At 36.5% G+C, this 23,750-nt stretch overlaps 1 long non-coding RNA gene across 1 annotated transcript in view; it reads left to right on the top strand.

The window, feature by feature from the left end:
- Window positions 1-23,750, top strand: part of LINC01170 (long intergenic non-protein coding RNA 1170) — a 378,727-nt gene that overhangs the window by 42,740 nt on the left and 312,237 nt on the right. The window contains exon 4 of the long non-coding RNA NR_125774.1: window positions 9,508-9,552. This is a non-coding gene — a long non-coding RNA (long intergenic non-protein coding RNA 1170). The remainder of the gene's footprint in view (window positions 1-9,507; window positions 9,553-23,750) is intronic.

Raw genomic sequence — 23,750 nt, 5'->3', positions numbered from 1 at the left:
ACTGTGCCCTAATGCACTCCTGATCCCAGTGGCTTAAATTCCTGTCAGAATCCAAGTGCAAAAACAAAGTGAATAGAACAGATACCTCTGCTCCTCGGGTCTTGCTTTGAGAAGCAGAGTGAGCTGGGTCCAGACACTAGATACTACTATACTCAGTGCCACTGGGTGCTTCTTTCCCTGCCAGCACACTGTAAAGAAGAGAGACATCAACGTGGAACCAGATCCCAGGCGCTGTCCAGTTGAAAAGGTCACTGCCGCAAATGAGCAATTAGTGCTCCCTGCTGCCGCGGAGGCTGTGGCTTCAGAAAGAGCCGCAGAAACACAATGCCTGGATAAACCAGCTTTGTAATCTGCTCGTCACAAGTCCAGTTGTCAGGGGTCTGTGCTGAATCGTAAAGGATAATGCTGTCCGGATTGGGAAAAATCAGATTTTTTAAAATGCAGCTGTCAACAGAACAGACCAAAGGGATATTTCATCTGTTGGCGGGGAGGATGTGGCGGACAAAGTACGGGGGGCATGGCTTTGGAGCCTCATTCTAAACCTTCACTATTTGGGACCTGCTTTCTCTCGAGGCCTCAGAGCTCAGCTGCAAAGCTTTGTTGCCTACTAAATGGGAATTTGAAAAAATTGGCTACAAATGCTAGGGTTAAATTGACTGTGTTATTAGCACTTTCTCTAAGAATCAGCTGCTTTCTTAAGGATTGTTCTTAAGAGTGTTTCATTTAAAACCTGGAACTTCTGCTTCCTCTTCATAAGGGTAGGAAGTGGAAATAGTGACAGGAGTGAAGGAGTGCTTGCTGGTGGCGGGTGAGTGAGGAGGATTGGTGGTGGAAGGAGGAGATGAGAGCCGAAACGTCTTTCCAAACTGCTCCTGGCTGAGGAGCCTCGGCCTGCCGCAATCCTGCCACCCCTGCAAAGCCCAGAATGCAGCAGGCAGACAGGGCTTTGGGAAGCCGCTCTGAAGCCACAGGTTTGACCTTGAAGACAGACGACTGACCCACTCTTCAAGGTAGCCTGACAGAAACTTCATTTCTTTGGCCACGTCAGTCAAATCCAGAGAAGGAAAAGAGACAATTCTCATTTCATCAGCCCAAAAGGCAAGATTTTGTTTTATGTTACAGACAAAGCTGTGAAATTGCATCTGACAAGAGAGGGCTCAAATAGTGAATTATCCAAGGTTTTGATACATGAATCAAGATTTTTCCCCTTTGTGTTGTAACGTTAGTGTTCAAGTTGTAAGGTAAATTGATCAAGCTATATTGGTTTAGTAAAGAGGAGGATGCAGCTGCCTCTCCCCATCCTCTCCTCTGTAGGATGGTTCCTAAAAATATAATCAGCCCTATTTTTATATGGGCTCAGGCCTCTGATTTTATAATGCAAGTTTATGGGCATTCTGATGCTTAGAATTGTAAACAACAACAGCACAACAAAAAACTCCAAGATTAATTTATAAGTTTCTCATAGACATACAGGAGGTAATCTCAGAAAAGGACATTTAAATTACTTGCTCTTCTACTTTCCCGTATAAACTTGTGCTAAATTCTACCCAGACTTTGTCCACATTCTCATGCATGTAAGTCTGTAATGCCTACTCATGAATCAATTGTGTTTTCTGTCTTGCCTATTGGTATGGAGAGGTCTTTGGTTGACAGGATTGTTTTATTTCCCTGACAGTGGTCAAGAGGATGAGAGGTGCTTTGGGAAGGGTAGAGCTAAGCCAGGAGGCAAGCACTGGACAGAGCGAGTAACTGAGGGCAGTCCAGGTGCTGGGGCATGAGGGAATGCAGGGTAAGAAGTCAACTTAGTGATTTCTTCCAGTATAGCTTCCTCTGCTCGCCTCTGACCAGGATTAAGTTAAAGGGCTCCATTGCTGACTCTGCTTTCAACTCTCAAAAAGACATTTTCCTAAGTCCGGGTTTTCGAGATTCCATTTATCTGTTCTTATTATGCAATTTGTCTGAGCCCCCCTGGAGGCTGAGATGGCAGTTGGTGCTAACTTCTTGGCACTAAAAGCTGCTTTTCTTTACAAAGGCTGGGCTTATTTCATTGAGGCATTTTGTTGTCAAGCTCTGAGTTGACAGCACAGAGTTACTAACACTCTTTCAACAGAAACTAAGTTTATAAGCTTGTAATTAGTGTTTAATGTTTGATATTTATACAGAGCTTTTCAAAGCTCAAAGCATTCTACAAGAAGAAAAGGAAAGTAAGCAAAACAAAACAAACAAAAAATCCTATTAGAACAAGGGCACAGAATGGTAGGATGTTATATAAAACCTAAATGTCATATATATGTAGATATGTATACATTCTTGTGTATATATAGTCATATATACATATATGAATAAGAACTTCTATCTAAACAATTTATGGAAGTTTTCAGGTGATTATTGAAATATTTCTAGGGCATATTCTTGTTTTTCATTCATTAATTATCAATTCTTTAATTACTCAGAAATCATTAATTCCATTACTCTAGGAGTAACACTATTCAATGTCTTATTGAGTCCAGATAATAGCACTTAAGGTTTTTGGCCATAGATCCTATATATTCAACAGGCTGCCTTCTGCTCAGGATTCTCTCTTTCTCATCTTTCTTCCTTTCTTCCTCCTTGTTGTATAGTTTTTAAACAATCGATATGTTTTGATATTTAACTTCATAATGAAACAAAAAAGTTTTCTTATACGGTTATTGATCAAAGCAAATATCTCCCTGGCTCATCTCTAGGTGAATTCTCTCTGTACTCATAATTCTTATTTCAACACTGGTATGTGTCTTTCAGGACCACTTTCTCTTAATGTATATGTGTGTGTACATGTATGATGTGTACATGCACAAAGAAGGTATTTGTGAATTTTTAAAACAATAATAATGATATCTAATATTTTTAGGGTACTTACTATGCAACAGGTACTGTTCTAATTAATCCTGACAACAACACTATAAGGCTCTCTGTATCCCCATTTTGCTAATGAGAAAATGAAAAACCCAGGGAGGGTAAGTAACTTTCCTGGGATTGCACTGTCAGTAAGTGGCAGAGCCAGGGTTCACATGCAGGTTTACACTTCTAACCAGTATGCCCTATTATGCTCTCTGTATATATATTGTCTCGATATACTCTCTGATATATATATACTCTGTACAAGCAATAATGTGTTTCAGAGATTTTTTTAATACTAATGCATTCTAGATTAATTTATGCTTCTAAATTGCTAGATAGTTTTCCATTTCATGGATGGGCCCTATTTTTATTTAGCCATTCCCCATTAGTCAACTTTTGGTTATTAGTACTTGATTTTTCCTTCCATTTTCTTTTCAAATTTTTTTATTAGAGTAAAAATACATTATATAAAATTAACCATCTTATTTGTTTTTAATTGTATGATTCAGTCGTATTCACTGCATTGTTAATGTACAACCATTACTACCATTCAACTCCATAACACTTCATCTTGTAAAACTGAAAGTTTATATCCATTAAAGAATAACTTCTCATTTCCTTACCCCCACAATCCCTGGCAACCACCATTCTGCTTTCTGTTTGTAAAAGTTTGACTACTTTAGATACTCCATATAAGTGGAGTCACATAGTATTTATTTCTCTGTGGCTGGCTTATTTTATTTAGCATTATGTCCTCAGGTTTCATTCATGTTGTAATATAAGTCCAATTTTCCTTCTTTTTTTTTTTTTTTTCTAATACGAAGTCTTGCTCTGTTGCCCTGGCTGGAGTGCAGTGGCACGATCTCAGCACACTGCAACCTCTGCCTCCTAAGTTCAAGCAATTCTCCTGCCTCAGCCTCCCAAGTAGCTGGGATTACAGGCGTGTGCCACCACACCTGGATAATTGTTGTATTTTTAGTAGATATGGGGTTTCACCATGTTGGCCAGGCTGGTCAGGAACTCCTGACCTCAAGTGATCTGGCCCCCCAACCCTCGGCCTCCCAAAGTGCTGGGATTACAGGCGTGAATCACCACACCCGCCCTTGAGGCACCTGCCGGCCTGATTTTCCTTCTTTTTAAAGCTGCATAAGATTCCATTGTATGTATATACCACATCTTGCTCATCCATTCATTGATCAATGAACACTTGGTTGCTTCCATTTTTAACTATTAAAAATAATGCTTCTGTGAACATGGGTGTATCTCTTCAAGGCCATACTCTCAATTATTTTGGTTATATACAGGCATACCTCATTTTGTCATGCTTCACTTTATTGTGCTTCACAGATAATGTGGTTTCACAAATTGAAGTTTTATGGTAATCCTGCATGGAACAAGTCTATTGCCACCATTTTTTTCAAATAGCATGTGCTCATTCATGTCTCTGTGTCACATTTTGGCAGTACTCATAATATTTTAGACTTTTAAATTATTATTATATCTGTTATGGTGATTTTTGATCAGTGATCTTTGATGTTATTGTAATTGCTTGGGGGTGGCACAATTCACACCTATATAAGATGGTGAACTTAATAAATAAGTATATGTGTTCTGACTGCTCCATGGACTGGTCATTCCACAATTTTTCTCTCTCTCTTTGGGCTTTCCTATTCTCTGAGACACAACAATATTAAAATTAGGCCAATTAATAACCCTACAATGGCCTACATGTTCAAGTGAAAGGAAGGGTCACATATCTGTCACTTTAAAGCAAAAGCTAGAAAAGACTAAGCTTAGTTTGTAAGACATGTCAAAAGCCATCATAGCCCAAAAACTAGGACTCTTGTTTCAAAAAGCTATTAGCCAGGTGGTGAATGCAAAGAAAAGTTCTTGAAGAAAATTCAAAGTGCTCCTCTAGTCAATACACAAATGATAAGAAGGTGAAACAGCTTTATTGTTGATATGGGGAAAGTCTGAGTTGTCTGGATAGAAGATCAAAGCAGCCGCAACATTCCGTTAAGCCAAAGCCTAATCCAGAACAAGACCCTAACTCTTCAATTCTTTGAAGGCTGAGAGAGGTGAGGAAGCTGCCAAAGGAAAGCTGGAAGTGAGCAGACATTGGTTCATGAGATTTAAGAAAGTAGCCATTTCTGTAACATAAAAGTGCAAGGTGAAGCAGCAAGTGCTGTTGTAGAAGCTGCAGCAAGTTATCCAGATCTAGCCAAGATCATTTATGATAGTGTCTACACTAAACAATATATTTTTAATGGTCTTCTATTAGAAGAAGATGTCATCTAGGACTTTCATAGCTAAAGAGGAGAAGTCAATGGCTAGCTTCAAAGCTTCAAAAGATAGCCTGATTCTCTTGTTAGAGGCTAATGCAGTGAGTGACTTTAAGTTGAAGTCGGTGCTCATTTACCATTTCAAAATTTTAAGGGCCTTAAGAATGATGCTAAGTCTACTCTGCCTGTGCTCTGTAAATGGAACAACAAAGCTTGGTTGAAAACACATCTGTTTACAGCATGATTTACTGAATATTTTAAGTCTGCTGTTGAGACCTACTGCTCAGGAAAAAACAAAAACAAAAACAAAACAAAACAAAAAAACACTGTTCCTTTCAAAATGTTACTGCCCATTGATTGACAATGCACCTAGTCACCCCAGGGCTCTGATGAAGATGTACAAAGAGATTAATGTTTTCCTGCCTGCTAGCACAATATCCATGTGTATCAAGGAGTAATTTTGACTTTCAAGTCTTATTATTGAAGAAATACATTTTATAAGGCTATAGTTGTCATAGATAATGATTCCCCTCATAGGTCTGGGCAAAGAAATTGAAAACCTTCTGGAAGAAATTTGTCATTTTAGGTGCCATTAAGAACATTTATGATTCATGGGAGGAGGCCAAAATATCAACATTAGCAGGAGTTTGGAAGAAGTTGATTTTAACCCTTGTAGATGACTTTGAGGGGTTCAAAATTCAGTGGGGAATTAACTACAGATGTGGTGGAAATACTAAGAGAAGTAGAATTAGAAGTGGAGCCTAAAGATGTGACTGAGTTGCTGCAATCTCATGATAAGGATTGAATGGATGAGAAGTTGCTTCTTATCGATGAACAAAGAAAGTCGTTTCTTGAGATGGAATTTATTCATGGTTAAGATGCTGGGAACAATGTTGAAATGACAACAGAGGATTTAGAGTATTCATACACTTAATTGATAAAGTAGTAAGAGGGTTTGAGAAGATTGACTTCAATTTTGAAAGAAGTTCTACTGTAGGTTAAATGCTATCAAACAGCATTGCATGCTACAGAGAAATCTTTCATGAAAGAGTCAATTAATGTGCAAACTTTATTGTTGTATTGCTGTAAAAAATTGCCACAGCCTCCCCAACCTTCAGCAATCACCACCCTGATCAGTCAGCAGCCATCACCATCAAGGCAAGACCCTCCACCAGCAAAAAGATGACAACTTGCTCAAGGCTCAGAAGATTGTTAGAATATTTTAAGAATAAAGTATTTTTTTAACTAAGGTATGTACATTGTTTTTTTAAGACATGATAGTATTGCATGCTTAATAGACTATAGTATAGTATAAACATAACTTTTATATGCAATGGGAAATGAAAAAATTGTATGACTTGCTTTATTGTGATATTCATTTTATTGTAGTGATCTGGAACCAAATCCACAGTATCTCTGATGTATGCCTGTACCCAGAAGTGGACTTGCTGGATGATATTTAAATTCTATTTTTAACTTTTTGCAGGATTATCATACTGTTTTCCACAGTGACTGTACCACTTATATTCTCACCAACTGTACACAAGGGTTCCATTTCTCCACATCCTTGCTCACACTTATTTTCTGATTTTTAAATATTAACCTTTTTCTAATGGGTGATATCTCATGGTAGCCTTGATTTGCATTTTCCTAATAACTAGTGAGGTTGAGAATCTTTTCCTCTGCCTCTTGGTAATCTGTGTATCACCTGTGGAGAAATGTCTATTCAAGTCCTTTGTCCATTTTTGAATTAGGTTGTTTTGTTGTTGTTGAATTTTAGGCATTCTCTGTGTATTCTGGCTATTAATTTTTTTTATTAGATACATTCTTTGCAAATATTTTCTCCCATTCTTTGGACTGCCTTTTTTTACTCTGTTAGTAGTATCTTTTGAAGCATATTTAAACTTTTTTTAGGAAGTCCATGGTTTTCTCAATTCTAAAATTCATGTGGAACCAAAAAAGAGCCCACATAGCCAAAGCAAGACTAATCAAAAAGAACAAATCTGGAGGCATCACATTACCTGATTTCAAACTATACTATAAGCCCATAGTCACCAAAACAGCATGGTATTGGTATAAAAATAGGCACATAGACCAGTGGAACAGAATAGAAAACTCAGAAATAAACCCAGATACTTATAGCCAACTGATCTTTGACAAAGCAAACAAAAACATAAAGTGGGGAAAGGACACCCTTTTCAACAAATGATGCTGGGATAATTGGCTAGCCACATGTAGGAGAATGAAACTGGATCCTCATCACTCACCTTGTACAAAAATCAACTCAAGATGGATTAAGGACTTAAATCTAAGATCTGAAACTCTAAAAATTCAAGAAGATAACCTTGAAAAAAACCCTTTTGGACTTTGACTTAGGCAAGGATTTCATGACCAAGAACCCAAAAGCAAATGCAATAAAAGCAAAGATAAATGTCTGGGACTTAATTAAACTGAAGAGCTTTTGCATGGCAAAAGGAACAGTCAGAAGAGTAAACAGGCAACCCACAGAGTGGAAAAAATCTTCACAATTTGTACATCTGACAAAGGACTAATATACAGAATCTACAATGAACTCAAATCAACAAGAAAAAACAATCCCATCAAAAAGTGGGCTAAGGACATGAATAGATAATTCACAAAAGAAGATATACAAATGGCCAGCAAACATATGAAAAAATACTCAACATCACTAATGATCAGGGAAATGCAAATCAAAACCACAATGCCATACCACCTTACCCATGCAAGAATGGCCATAATCAAAAAATAAAAAAATAGTAGATGTTGGCATGGATGTGGTGAACAAGGAAAACTTCTACACTGCTGGTGGGAATGTAAACTAGTACAACCACTATGGAAAACAGTGTGGCGATTCCTTAAAGAACTAAAAGTATAACTACCATTTGATCCAGCAATCTCACTACTGGGTATCTACCCAGAGGAAAAGAAGTTATTTTACGAAAAAGATACTTGCACACACATGTTTATAGCAGCACAATTTGCAATTGCAAAAATGTGGAAGCAACCCAAATGCCCATCAATCATTAAGTGGATAAAGAAACAGTAGCATAGATATACAACAGAGCACTACTCAGCCAGCCATTAAAAAGGAATGAATTAATGGCATTCACAGCCACCTGGATGAGATTGGAGATGATTATTCTAAGTGAAGTAACTCAGGATGTAAGCTATGAGGATACAAAGGCATAAGAATGACACAGTGGACTTTGGGAACTCAGTAGGAAAGGGTGGGAAGGGGGTGAGGGATAAAAGACTACAAATTGGATGCAGTGTATACTGCTCAGGTGATGGGTGCACCAAAATCTCACAAATCACTGCGAAAGAACTTACTCATGTAACCAAATACCAACTGCTCCCCAATAACCTACGGAAATAAAGAAAGTTAAAACAACAGAAAAAAGAAGTCCATGGTTTTCTTTTGCTGTCTGTGCCTTTGGTGTGATAGCCAATGAAGTCATTGTGAAAAAAAATGTTGTTAGGCTTTTTCCTCTATGATTTCTTCTAAGAATTTTAGTTTTAGAACTTACACTTATTTCTTTGATCCATTGCATGTCTTTTAATCTATGAACATGGGATATGTTTCCATTTATTGTCTTCCTTAATTTCTTTTAGCATTGTTTTATAGTTGTTTTGTTGTATAAGTCTTTCAACTCCTTGATTAAATTAATTGCTAAGTATTTTATTATTTTTGATGATACTGTAAATAAAATTGTTTTCATCATTTCCATTTCTTATTGTTTATTGTTAGTGTATAGAAATGTAACTGATTATTTTGTGCTGGCTTTGTATCTTGTTAAATTGCCTAATTCACTTATTAGGTCTAACATTTTTATGTGGAATCTTCAGGGTATTCTACATAGATGATCATATCATCTGCAAACAGATAATTTTAGTTCTTCCTTTTCCATTTCTATTCTATCTGTTTATTTTTTCTTGTCAAAGATATTCTTTCAGTCTTTCACCATTGGGTATGATGTTCACTGTGGGTTTTTCATATATGGCTTTTATTATGTTGAGGTCGTTTCCTTCTATACCTAGTTTGTTGAATGTTTTTATTAGGAAACAGTGTTGAATTTTGTGAAATCCTTTTTCTGCATTGATTAAGATGATTATGTGTTTTTTTTCCCCCTTCATTCTGTTAATGTGATGTGTTATGTTGATTTTTGTATGTTGAATTATCCTTGTATTTCAGGAATAAATCCCATTTGGTCATGCTATATAACTCTTATAGTATGCTTCTGAATTCAGTTTGCTAGTATTTTATTAAGCATTTTTGCATGAATGTTCATAAGAGATATTGATTTGCTATTTTCTTTTCTTGTAGTGTCTTCCTTTGGCTTTGGTATCAAGGTAATGCTGGCCTCATAAGGTGAGTAAGAAAGTGTTCTCATCTTTTCAATGCTTCTTTTTGAAAAATTCGAAAATGATTTGTGTTAGTTCTTTTTTAAATGTTCGTTGGAATTTACCCAGGACCCGTCAGGTCCTGGGCTTTACTTTGTTGGAAGATTTTAAATTACTGACTCAATATCCTTCTAGTTACAGGTCTATTCAGATTTTATATTTTTTTCATTATTGTGTCTTGGTAGAGTTTGTGTTTCTAGCAATTTCCCCATTTAATCTAGGTTATCTAAGTTGTTAGTGTGCAATTATTTATAGTACTTTCCCACAATCCTTTTTATTTCTATAGAATCAGTAGTATTCCTGCTTTCATTTCTGACTTTAGTAATTTAAGTCTGTGGTTTTTTTTCTTAGCCTATCTATTTAAGTTTTGTCAATTTTGTTGATATTTTAAAACAAACCAACTTTTGGTTTTATTGATTTCCTGTATTGTATTTCTCTATTTTGTTTATTTCTGTACCATCGTTTTTCTTTTTTTTCCTGCCAACTTTGGGTTTTGATAGTTTCTTTTTCTATTTTTTTTAAGCTGTAACTTTAGGTAGTTGATTTGAGATCCTTCTTGTTTTTAAGTGTTTATAGCTATAAATTTCCCCTAAAATTATTTAGCACTGTTTTCACAGCATCCCATATTTTGGTATGTTGGGCTTTCATTTTCATTCATCTGTAAGTATTTTCTAATTTCTGTTGTGCTTTCTTCTTTGATCTGTTGGTTGTTTAAGAGTGTGTTGTTTAATTTTTACAATATTGTAAATTTTCCATTTTTACTTACGTTATTGATTTCTAATTTTGTTTCATTGTGATTGGAGAAGATGCTTTTTATGATATCTGTCTTTGAAAATCTACTGAAACATAATCTATGTTTCAGTATATATATATATACTGAAATATATATAGATAACATATAGTCTATCCTGGAAAATGTCCCATGTGCACTTGAGAAGATGTGTATGCTGTTATTGCTGGGTACGGTGTTCAATGTGTGTCTATTAGATCTAGTTGGTTTATTCTGTTGTTTAAGTACTCTACTTTCTTATTTATCTTTTGTCTGGTTGTTTTAGCCATTATTGAGAATGGGGTACTGAAATCTCCAACTATTATTGTAGAACAGTCTATTTCTCCCATTGGTTCTGTCAGTTTTTGTTGCACATGTATATATTTTAATGGTTTGTCATTAGGTGCATAAATGTTTATAATTATATATTCTTGCTGTACTGAACTTTTTATTAATGCATAATGCCCTTCTTCATTTTTTGTAAATTTTGAAAAATGGAAGACTATTTTGTCTGATATTAGTATCACTAACTCTGATCTTTTCTGGTTACTATTTCCATAGAATATCTGTTTCCATCCTTTCACTTTAAATCTATTTGTGTCTTTGGATCTAAAGTAAATCTCTTGTAGACAACATACAGTTAGATTATATTCTTAAATTTATCCTGCAAATCTCTGTCTTTTGACTGGAGAGTTTAATTCACTTACATTTAAAGTAATTACTAAAAAAAGGTTTTACTTCTGTCATTTTTCTATTTGTTTTCTAAATGTCTAATAGCTATTTTGTTCCTCATTTCCTGAATTACTATTTTCTTCTGTGTTTAGTTGATTTTTTTGTAGAAAAACATTTCTCATTTCTTTTTTATATATCCTATAGGCATATTCTTTGTGGTTACCATGGAGATTACATTTAACATTCTAAAGTTATAACAGTCTAACTTCAATTTATACCAGCTTCATTCCAATAACATACAAAACTGCTCCTTTAACAGGTTCATCCTCATCGCTTTAGCTTGCTAAAGTCACAAAATTACATGTTTTTACATAGTATGCCCCAAAATATAAACTAATAATTTTTTTTAAATGCATTAGTGTTTTAAATAAATAGAAAAATGTGGGGTTACAAACCAATGTTACAATAATATTAGCTTTTAGATTGTTATTTTTCAAAGTGTTTTAGTATCTTAAATAATGTAGAGAACAAAAAGTACAGTGACAAACCATTGTTACAGTAATGCTAGCTTTTATAATTGCCCATGTATTTACCTTTATTGAGATCTTTATTTCTTTATATAGCTTTACTCTCTGGTGTCATTTTATTTCACCTTCCTGGACTCCCAAGCATTTCTTGTGTGGCAAATTTAGTGGGAACAAACTTTCTCAACTTTTGTTAATCTGGGAATGTCTTAATTTCTCCTTCACTTTTGAAGAACAGTTTTGTCAAATACAGGATTTTGGTTTGACAATTTTTGTTGTTGTTGTTGTTGTTTTAATTTAGCATTTTGAATGTATGTATCCACTGTCTTCTGGATTCCAATGTTTCTGATGAGAAATCTGATGATAATCTTATAGAGGATTCCTTCTATGTGACAAGTCACATCTCTTTTGCTGCTTTCAAGTTTTTCTCTTTGCCTTTGCTTTTGAAAGTTTGATTGAAATGTGTTGTGGTGTAGACCCCTGAGTTCTTCTTACTTAGAGTTTGCTGGGCTTTTTGGATGTTTGTATTCATGCATTTCACCAAACTTGGGAGGTTTTCATTCATTATTTCATCAACTATTCTCTTTGTCCCTTTATCCTTGTCTTCTCTGTGTGGGACTCCCAGAGTATGTAAGTTGGTATACTTGGTGGTGTCCCACAGTATTGGGGGAACCCGCCCCCAGTATTTCAACGTAGGTTCTTTCTGTTTTCCGTAAGTGTCGGCTGGCTGAGAAATAAAGAGAAAGAGTACAAAGGGAGGAATTTTACAGCTGGGACTCCAGGGGTGACATCACCTATCGATAGGACCGTGATGCCCACCTGGGCCTTAAACTAGCAAGATTTTTTATTAAGGGTTTCAAAAGGGGAGGGGGTGTAAGAATAGGGAGTAGATCACATGCTTCAAAGGGCAAAAAGGAGAACTACTGATAAGGGTCCAACAAAGATCACAAGACAAAAGGGCAAAAGCAGAACTACTGATAAGGGTCTATGTTCAGCGGTGCACATATTGTCTTGATAAACATCTTAAACAACAGAAAACAAAGTTGAGAGCAGAGAGTTGGTCTGACCACAAATTTACCGGGGTGGAGTTTTTTCCCCACCCAGGTAAGCCTGAGGGTACTGCAGGAGACCAGGGCGTATCTCAGTCCTTATCTCAACCGCATAAGACAGACATTCCCAGAGCGGCCGTTTATAGACCTCCCCCCAGGAATGCATTCCTTTCCCAGGGTATTAATATTAATATTAATGTTAATATTCCTTGCTAGGAAAAGAATTTAGCGATATCTCTCCTACTTGCACGTCCGTTTATAGGTTCTCTGCAAGAAGAAAAATATGGCTCTTTTTGCCCTACCCCAGAACTTATGGTTGTCTTCCCTTGTTCCCTAAAAATTGCTGCTATTCTGTTCTTTTTCAAGGTGCACTGATTTCATATTGTTCAAACATACATGTTTTACAATCAATTTGTACAGTTAACACAATTATCACAGTGGTCCTGAGGTGATGTACATCCTCTGCTTACGAAGATAACAGGATTAAAAGATTAAAGTAAGACAGGCGTAAGAAATTATAAAAGTATTATTTGGGAACTGATAAATTTCCATGAAATCTTCACAATTCGTGTTCCTCTACCGCAGCTCCAGCCGGTCCCTCCATTTGGGGTCCCTGGCTTCCCACAACACCACAGGTCCCTTAGGCTCTGTTCGTTTTCTTCAATCTTTTTTTCTTCTGTTTCTCAGACTCAATTATTTCAGTTGTCCTCTCTTTAAGTTCATTGATTCTTTCTTCTGCCTGCTTGAATCTGCCTTGGAATCCCTCTAGTGAATTTTTCATTTCAGTTATTCTATTTTTCATGTCCAGAATTTCATTTTGGCTTCTTTTTACATTTTCTAACTCTTTACTGATTTTTTATTTTGTTCGTACATCATTGTCTTTTCTCTCTCCACACCTTCCTTTAGTTCTTTGAGCATATTTAAAACAATTGGCTTAAAGTTTTTGTTTAGTGCAACTGCCATTAGGTCTTTCTCAGGGATAGTTTCTGTTGATTTACTTTTTTCCTTTGAATGGGCCATATTTTCCTATGTTTTTTGTTTGTTTGTTTATTTGTTTGTTTTCATGCCTTATGATTTTCTGTTGAAAACTGAACATTTGAATCTAATGATGTGGTAACTCTTGAAATTAGATTCTCCATCTTCCCCAGGGTTTGCTGGGTTTTGCTTATTGTTTTTTTGGTTATTCTAACCTGTCTCTATGTCATAGGTCAGTGTGAGATATAATGTCTTCTCAAGTATTTTCTGAAGCTGCACCTTTTCCTAGGCATGCACGGTCACTTTCAAATTTTCCCCATATATGTAGTTGCTTTTGAATAACTGAGTCTTTAATGTCTGGATCCAAAAAGTGGAAAAAAAGAATAATAAAAGAAGGAGGGGAGAAAGAGTGCCAGCCGTTTAAATCCTCTGGAAGTCATTTTAGCCCTAGAGTGTGGGGGCTGTAACAATGGAGGAGGTGAAACAACAATGGCTGCATGTCTCTTTGTCGGTATGTTTGTGATCAGAAGTAGCAGCAATCAGTGTACAGATACCTGACATTTGGAGGACAGGGTCCATTTTTCCTACCCTGACTTCCACAGGGTATACCCAGGACACTCCAGAAACATGCACACAGCTGCCTGCCACAGGGCTGAGGATGGAATATGGGTAGCTGCTACCCTGATAAGAACTGAAATAGACTGAAATTAACTGCAATTGACCATTAAAGGCTTTTCCTAGAAATTGCAAGGCTGCAATAGAATCCAGAGTTCCAAAAGAGTTACATCAGACTGATTCTGCCAGAGCAAATGTTGTCTAGGTGGGGAGACAGACAGATTGCTGGTGCTTCCCATTCCACCATCTTCCCAGAATCCTCCTGGTTGTTATTTGTTTATTCTTGTAAATATTTGCTGCAAAGCAAAGCTTTCCACCGGTGTTTTCATATATATATTATATGCATGTATTCTCAATAACAGAGAAGAAAAATAGAATTTCTGGCTTGGTGTGTGTGTGTGTGTGTGCGCGTGTGCATGCATGACCAAGGTGCTTTCAAAGGTTGCACTTATTTACACTTCAAACATATATTGTATGAGAGTACATTTTTTTTTCATCTGTCAACACTTGGTATAATTGTTATTTAAATTCTTTTTCAATTAGATGAAAATACTTGATATATATTGTTTAAATTTGTATTTCTTTTAATGTTTATTAGTCATATTTTCTGACTTCAATTTTATTTTTATATTTTGCTGTTGTGAGCAGCCATTTTAAATTTCATATCAGCTAGGAGTTTTCAGGCCATTCCGTCTGGAAGTGTAGATGGAGTCACTTTAACAACAACAACCCATGCCCAGCACAATAACTGGAACATCATTGGAACACAACAAATAATGATTGACTGAACCTTCTCCAAGCCATGAGTATGTGCTATGCTTTGTTACACTCATTTTTTTTTTAAAGAAACACATTTCCAGGAGAAAAAGTTAAATGTCTAGGTTTGTTTTCTCTTGAGATTGTTTTTTCTTACCCCTAGAGTAACCTCAGTTTCATGCATATAAACCTTCATCAGGGCTGTTCTGCTCATTTATCAGATAACTCCAGACATGCCTGAATGCCAGCACTAGGCAGTGGTGGCCTCTTAAGTCTTACCATCTCCCCAACTTTCTGGAATCCATGCCTTGAGTTGTCAGAAAATAAAAATATTAATAAAAACAATTGTTCAATTTAAGGCAAAGGATTTGGGCCCAAAGCAATCATTTTGGACTGTTCTTATAAGAAATGTTTTATAATTGTTTCTGAAGATTTCCATATGAAAGATACCTTTATTTATTCTGCAAACATGTATTGAATGCCTGCTGTATTGTGGTGCTGGGCTATAACCACACACAGTCATGCTTTCTAGGGGCATATGAGGATGATAAAATACAAACAAACAAGCAAAACAACGAGTGTAACAAAGCACAGCACATACTCTGACAGTTTGGAGAAGTTTCAGAGGGAGCATAGGAAGGGTGTGGTGAGTTGAATCCCAGGGAGTCAGGAAAATCCTCATTGTTAAGATGATGTTTCAGCTAAAAGGATGCCTTTTTTAAAGATGTGGGTGGCCAGGGTTATGATGACTTTGCTGTTGTCAAACAAACTTCAGCCAAGATGATTGATAGTAGCTCAAAAGATCTCATCTCCTAACTGACATACAGCTTAGAACTAAATAAAACCAAACCACTTCCAATAAATGTGATGACATTTTCAAGTCTATGCAATATGGGTTTTGTGAATATTATTCTAAATATTTTACAATAACAGGAAATGTTGTGATAACATGAAATCAGACAGACTTTGAAAAGCCCCTCAGAAACTTGTAATCACAAGTTAATTTGAGAGAAATCTGATCATGGCAAAGCAGCAATCAATCCCATTTGCCTAACATAGAAGTCAGTTATGTCTCTATATTTACATAGTCTATGTCTTTAAATTTATATATTCTGTATCATTTTATATATATTCTATATCTTTATAGAATTGTATATAAAAATAAATAAATAAATAAAGAAGAAGATGAGATGCTTATCAACGGAGGGTAAAAAGAAGGACAGTGCCAACATTTTTGTGATGGTTCTTATTTTCAAGGTCAGAGAATAATGTACTTTTCTGAAATTTTTAAGAAGATAGTTTAAAACTTACATTGTTCTTTAACTTTAGCTGTTCCCAAATGAACCCAGATTAAAGAAGGTTGAAGATGGCAGGGTGAGAGATGAATGAACACTAATATTCACTTGAGATGTGTGTGTTTACAGACCATGTTCATTTATTCATACAACAAATGTAATGAACATTTACTGTGTGTTGGGCAGTATGCTAGAGGCAGGGCATGAAAAGATAATATAATTTTTTTCCCTTTAAGGAATTTATAGTCTGGTTCAGTAGACATAGCCCTAAATGTATTATTATAATGCAGTAGAATAAGGACTCTGTTTCTAGCCAGGCTTTTACTAACCTAGAGCTACAGACAAAATGTGTGCTATGGGAACTTAAAAGTTACTTATCTCATCTTGAGTTATCTTATCTTGGGGAGCCAAGAAGGCTTCACAGAAAAGGTGACTTTTATGGACAAAGTAGGTATGAGTTTTTAATTTTCCTTCCCCCCAGTGAAGCAATTATAAGACCCAGAAAAGTATAAAGCGAAACAAATAGAGCAAAAATATTATAAGAGAATAATAGTCCAATCAGGAGCAAACACAAATATGGTGTGATTTCTTATAATTAATGATTTGTAAAAATGATCATTCATTTGACTGAGTGTTTAGCTCACTTTATCCTTCTCCTTTGAATGGCACAAATGTCATGACTTTAAACCTGTGAATACGGAAATATAATCTTGGTACTCTGCTTGTAGTGAACTCTGTAGTGAACACTATTTTACATGTCATATTAATCCAAAGACTTTGATTGGTTTTTAGTCTTCACCTAGCTAAGTACTCAACTTCAAGTTAAAATAGAATGCGCCTCAACATCAATAATTTCAGCATAACATATTATTTAGGGTTAACTTAATAACTAAAAACAATAAAATTAAGGTGGCTGCTTCTGGAAAGCAGGACCCTGGGGGGAGGAAAAGAATGAGATAAAGCAATTTTTCAAAATGTAAAACCACTTCTGGGGGCCAGGTGCAATGGCTCAGTCCTGCAATCCCAGTGCTAGGGAAGAATCTTTTGAACCCAGGGGTTTGAGACCAGCCTGGGCAATATAGTGGGATGCCATCTTTACAAAAAAAAAAAACCATGGAAAATTAGCTGGGTGCAGTGGTGTGTACCCACAGTCCTAGCTAATTCGGAGGCTGAGGTGGGAAGATTGCTTAAGGCCAGGAGTTTGAGGTTACAGTGAAGTATGATTGCACTACTGCAGTCCATCCTGGGCAACAGAGTGACATCCTAGGGAAGAAACAACAACCACAAAACAAATAAACAAACCAAAAAACCCATTTCTATATATTTGATTTTTAAAATACTGTGTATGTATTGCCATGTTTTTTTTAAAAGGACTCTTAAAACCCTAAGGTAATTTAGCAAATTAATTCAATGCAAAGAAATGTAATTATTTCAAATGATCACCCTTAGCTATAAGAAGTCTGCAGATCCAATGAGTAGTTTCATTTTCCATCTGTGTTTCTGATAATATTATATCCAGCACTTGTCATCCTCACTCACACTAAGGCACTTACTGTACTATGTGGTCTTGTGTGTTTAGTGTTTCAGAGTGACATCATATTCTTTTGATACCCCATCCCCTTTTATTCTACCGGACTGATACAGGTAGAAGGGAAGGAATTGAAGAAACATGGTTCAGTAGTCATTTGTCCAGAGAGAAATGGTTACGAGTGCTTTTGCCACTAAATTATGCTAATCCACTCTATAATCCAATCACTATTTTCTAAATGACAAGGGACCCTAGTGCCAAAGGAACTGTAGCAATTTTCTCCTTTGTCCCAGTAGGTCAATTATTCTATTTTTCCTGAGGTAAAAGAATAACTTTCTTTCCCTGAACTTGTGAGGGCTCTGCAATGCACACCACTCACAGGATCTGCCAAACTATTATCACTCCATTAGACCTGGCTGAGATCATAATTACCTAAGGAATGCCATACCTCAACTCCATGTTTCTGGATGTCAGCGGCTCCAGGCACCTCAGCTCATTCAGGAGTTAAGGTTCATATATCCTGCCCTTTATTTTCCCTCTGGACTTCCATGATTCTACATGCTGAAGAGTACACAGAGCATTGCCTTGGAGTTAGTAACAAGGGACTGAAAACCCAACCATTTGGAACTAATATATTTATTGCAGTATCCGTAAGAAAGATGGCATGAAGCATTCTTATTAAGAAGCGTGAAAACTCCTTATATTTTGGTTCCTAAAATAACACCACACACGTAGAGAAAATTAGACAGGACTAGGAGATTTCTTATCATTCGTAGGGTTGGTGTGTATAGAGATCCAGGAATGTAACACAAATATAAGACACACATTTTTTAACATTAGTGAACCTGAGTTGCAGCTACCATGGAATGTAAAGTTAATGGGAGACTTGGATAATCTCTCCCCAAATAACTAAATTTAAGGATTTGTTTTCTCCTTGTTTCTACCTTAGTACACTATTAATTAATTTGCCTTGTTTGGAAGACCTTGATTTCTGCGTGTGTGTGTGTGTGTGTGTGTGTGTGTGTGTGTGTGTGTGTGTTTAGAGGGCAGGGTGTCTTGATTAGCTTTGAAGTGCCTTTCTTGCATAATGAACAACATTCTAACACGAGCTGGCTCTAGTATCCAGGCCTCATTGTTAGGAAGGCTTTATCAGGTGCTATCCTCAGTCTCTGACACATTCAAAAGAATGTTAACAGTGATTTTTCATCCTTGGAGGGTATACTTGGATTTGGAAGACTGTCAAAATGTATTTGGAGCCAAGCATGGTGAATAAATGCTGGGTGATGATTCTAGGAAATAGAATGTTTAGAGAAGTGGTCAAAAAAAAAAAAAAAAAAAAACAAAGGATCCTAAACTTTTGTTTTTCTTTTAAGCAATGGGCATTTTGTAATAAATAGAATATGTAACACCACAAGGTAACTTTCTATGAGTTAGTAAGTTTGCTCTCTGTAGAAACCAGAGAGAGGTTATCAGAAGCCTGCCTCTGAGAAAATGCCAGGTGGGTCGCAATGTTATTTATATAGATGAATAACTTGGAATTTTTCTCAATACTCTCTTCAGATAAATGGAGGATATTATTCCTTAGATTTAGCCTTCTGGTTGCTTGTCTCCAGTTCCCAATTTTCCAGTAATCACTCAGCCTTCACAGCAAATGTCATTAACCTGGGGAAAGGAAAAAAGAAATTTGATCTACTTCACCATCTTAGATGCTCAGATAGAGCCTGTCAGATGTGCAGACAACAGAGAGTTACGGAAAGGTCATAGAAAACAAGGAAATTGTGGATACTACCTCTTTCTCACCCCACTGACCCCCATATAAAGCAAGGTTCACTTACATTCCAAAAACATTTATGTACTCTGTTATTTGTAAAACTTTTTTCTAATAAAGAGAGAATAAGAAAGCTGCAAATGAACGTACCTATTCTTTAAAAGTGTCAAAAATTTTCTTTGAGAGGAGAATTACAACAAAAATTATGTCAACACTAATAACATCATACAATTAGTCGCTTGATTTTGTAAACACTTTAATTGCTTTGACAATGCTTGACTTACATATTAAGAGTAGTTGTTATCCATAAGAACTATAACCATGTGCTTGCCCTACAACAGGGAGTAACATATATACAGAAATCAACAATGAAAATATTAACAAATCACCAAACTAGAAGAAGAAAATTCACTAAAGGAAGACAGAATTAAGAGAGGTACCAAAGAACTGGGTGTGGTGGCACATGCTTGTAATCCCAACTACTTGTGGGGCTGAGGCAGGAGGATCACTTGAGCCCAGGAGTTCCAGGCCAGCCTGGGCAATATAGTGAGACCCATCTCTTAAAAGAGAGAGAGAAAGTGATTGAGAAAGAGAGAGGGATAGAAAGTGGCATCAAAATTTGACCTGTGGCCCTAACATTGAACTTAATGCTCCGCAACCATCACTCTAGAAACTATTTTCAATCTGCTTTTTATCTAGGTAAGAATAAAAAGAACAGTTTCATAGATCTCTTTTCATGGTTGTTTTGATACATTCTTATTGGAATGCCATATAATTATGTGACCATTGAAGGTTATATAAGTCCTTTTATTCTTTTCTGCTTTACTTCCTGTCTTTCTTTTGTGTGCTGGTCAGTTTTAAACTTTGACATATTTTAGAGCTGTAGAAATTTTAGTTTTGTTTCAATAAATCCATTTTGTAAAAATTAAGAAGCATATCAAATCAACTCAACTGTGAACAAACTGTGGAGTCAGTTAATATGTTAATATTACCAAAGCATGAGTGATACCAATAGGTTCAAATAGTTCAATTGTATATGTAGATGCATTTTATTAAGGAGGAAATTTTTTTCACATTTTCCCAAGCATAAAAGACCATCTGATTTTAGAATTTGGAGCCTTTGAAATAGAAGTATTGTCCCTAGATTTTTCATATAAGGTCATGAAATGGCTGTTATTTATAAAATACATTTTATCTAGCTGGTATCTTTTATTATAAAAGGGCCAGAATAGATGTTGACAAGTGGACATTTTATATGTAAATAAAATATTTTAAAGCCTCCATGAACTCAACATGTTTATATATTGGTTTCTGTCATATCTTTTTCTTTAGTGCTTATATATCAAGCATTTTTATGAAGTATTCTTTCTTCTAAATTGAGACATAGTGTAAGACAGAAAAGCAGGCAATATCAGGAACTGAGTTTTTTTTTCTCATTTTTCTATGAGAAACACTTATTCTGAGAGAGAGGAGTCTAAATGGTGATGCTGAGACCACAAGCTCTTGATTTTATAGTTCAGTTCTGGTGTTGGGTGAAGTCCTAGGCTTTGGGGTGATTTTTCAGTGTGATAATTTTAGACTAAACTATTTGCCTGCTGCACCAAATATTGCCGAGGATCCAAAATGTGACTTTGGGCAAATTATCCACTGATTTTAAATATCAAAAGAATATTACTGGCTTCAGACAAATCTTGTAATGATCAATTAAGTTTCAATGATGCTTTAAAATTAGTCCTTCTATGAGTAAAGGAAAAAGTCTAGAATCCTCCATAGTTAGAATAACTCCCAGGTACTTATTGCCTATGCATGGCCTATTTTCAGCTTCCTCTTTATTAGTGTCCATGCTCTTTTAGGGAATTGGCATGTATATTTTTGTTTCGAGGAAGTCATTTCTTTCTACGGTGATGTCAGACTTAGGTATCTTTTCTTTAAAAGGCAGCAGTTTAGGTGCCATCAGAGCCAATTTGCCATCACCTTCAATGTTTCCAAATGTAAATACGTCACTCTGTTGTGGTCTGGCTCCATGAACATTGCTACAGTATATTAAAGAATGTTTTTACATCTACAGCCCTGTGCATTAAAAGGGAAATTTTAAAAGAGGCCCATGATATATTAGTCACATGAATGCTAGCAAAGGAGCGAGAGTGTTTCCAATTAGCTTGTCTTCCTTTTGCTGTTTTATGGGGAACAGATGAGTGACACATCTCACTGCAGTGAAGAGTTACTAGATGTGAAACCAAAAGTCTTGAGCTGGGGCACACTTTCTTGTTGTTTAAACCCTTTGAGATTTTTTAAAAATCAGACATGTCAAATGAGAATAATATCTGGTCTACTAGTGTCAGAGCGTTGTGGGAGGGAATAGGGTACAAAATGAGTAAATGCTCTGTGAACTATTAGTTGTTGTATACAGGTTGGTGTGTATTAGTTCCATGCCTTTGATTATAAGCCTGGAAATGAACTGTGGCTAACTGAAGCTAGAGAGAATTTAGTGGAAGTATATTGAGGCTCACAGAATAGCCAGGAGCCTAGAAGATCATGCTAGGGATGTGACAAGAAATAAGGCCTTTTCAGAGGGCAAAGAAGCAGGACATTCTAGAGGCCACAGCAGGAACTGTCCATGAGGATGGAGTGTATGCTATTCATTTCCAGTCCCTTTGATCCTACGCTCAGATTTGAATACTAGTGAAAGGGCGGTAGTAGAGTAGTAGGCCCAGTTGCAATCTTGTGCTAGTCTCATGGGTAGGGAAGGGTATGGGCCCTGGTTACTGTCCCATCAGACTGTGTCTTATAGGAAAAAAGTAATTTCTCAAAAGGAATTAGAGTGGTAATAGAAAGAAGATGGATGCTGGACAATCCAAAAATCCACAGACATGAAATTGATATTCCTTATTTCTTCAGTTTAGGGTAGAAAATGTATATAGACTCAGTGATTCTGAGCCCTTTTACCCTGTGCTATGGTCTGAATGTTTATGTTTCTCCTAAATTCAAATGTTGAATCCCTTACCCTCAAGGGATGGTATTAGGACATGCGGACTTTGTAAGGTGATTAGGTCATGAGGGTAGGACCCTTGTGAGTGGGATTAATGCCCTTATAAAAGAGGCCTGAGGATTGCTCCTTCCACCATGTGAGGACACAATGAAAATCCACCATCTATGAACCAGAAAGCAGGCCCTCATCCCACACCAAATCTGTTGGTGCCTAGATCTTGAACTTCCCAGCCTCTAGAACTGTAAGAAATAAATTTCTCTCATTTAGGCTATCCAGTTTAAGGTATTTTATCATAGCAGCTCAACAGTACTAGGACAATATTCTGAAATTAATTTTTTTTTAATTTCCCCAGTCTTGGGAACTTAAATATTTAAATTCAATGACTCTGAGCCCTTGTCTCCTGTAACCAAGGGAATGCCATATTTTTCCACCCTGGGGTTTCGCTTGATGATTCCCAAGAAGAGCAGTAATTATACCTGAGACCAAAGGTTCAATTCTGATTACCAGTCTTTGAGCAGAGAAGAAAATGCCTGAGATCTGTCTCAGCCTACGGAGGAGTCTTTGTTTGTGGCTGTTGTTGATACTGCTGCCCAGTGTGACACTGATGAAATCCAGATGGCCCAACTTCCCTGGGGTTGAGCTCCTTGTGCACTGCTTGAAGTTAGGGGCTGGCCAGGTATCCATTGTAAATCAGGGGGCCTGTCCCTGAAAAAAACACGTTGTCCATTTTCCAAGCTGTGATCCTGGCTGTCATTTTTTGTCTGCATATAGGTGTAGAAGGAGGAATCTGTGTCCCCGTCCCCCAAATTCTTCAAAGCTTGACCGTGTTGCTGGTGACAGGGTCCAGAGGATTTCCTTTCTCAGTTGTATGCTGTGCCTAGACTACTCCTATCTCCAGGTTTCCAAATACTTTCCCTGTGAGTAGAGGAAATCCCTCCCTTTTTCAGTCCCAAGGCCTAGCTGCAGTGCTATCCTAGTAAAAGTGAAAGTTTTTTCATGAGAAAGAACAATTCTTGTCAAGTGTATTATTTACTACCTAGATGAGCTTTCTTAAAGACTTAGAGGGAAATACAAGAATGACATACACTAACTAGTATGCCTATACCACTTCTTCAGATGGGAGAGCAAATTAGTTTTAATTGAAAATTGAGTCAGAGAAAATTAGGATACTTAAAGTAAGGAGCAAAAGACAGCTAGGGGAGTGTAACTGGCAGGTTTGCTGAGTC

This window comes from Homo sapiens, chromosome 5 (assembly GCF_000001405.40).
Source record: "Homo sapiens chromosome 5, GRCh38.p14 Primary Assembly".
Classification (NCBI taxonomy): Eukaryota; Metazoa; Chordata; class Mammalia; order Primates; family Hominidae; genus Homo; species Homo sapiens.
Note: the sequence above shows the minus strand (reverse complement) of the source record. Positions and strands in the feature narration are given on the sequence as shown.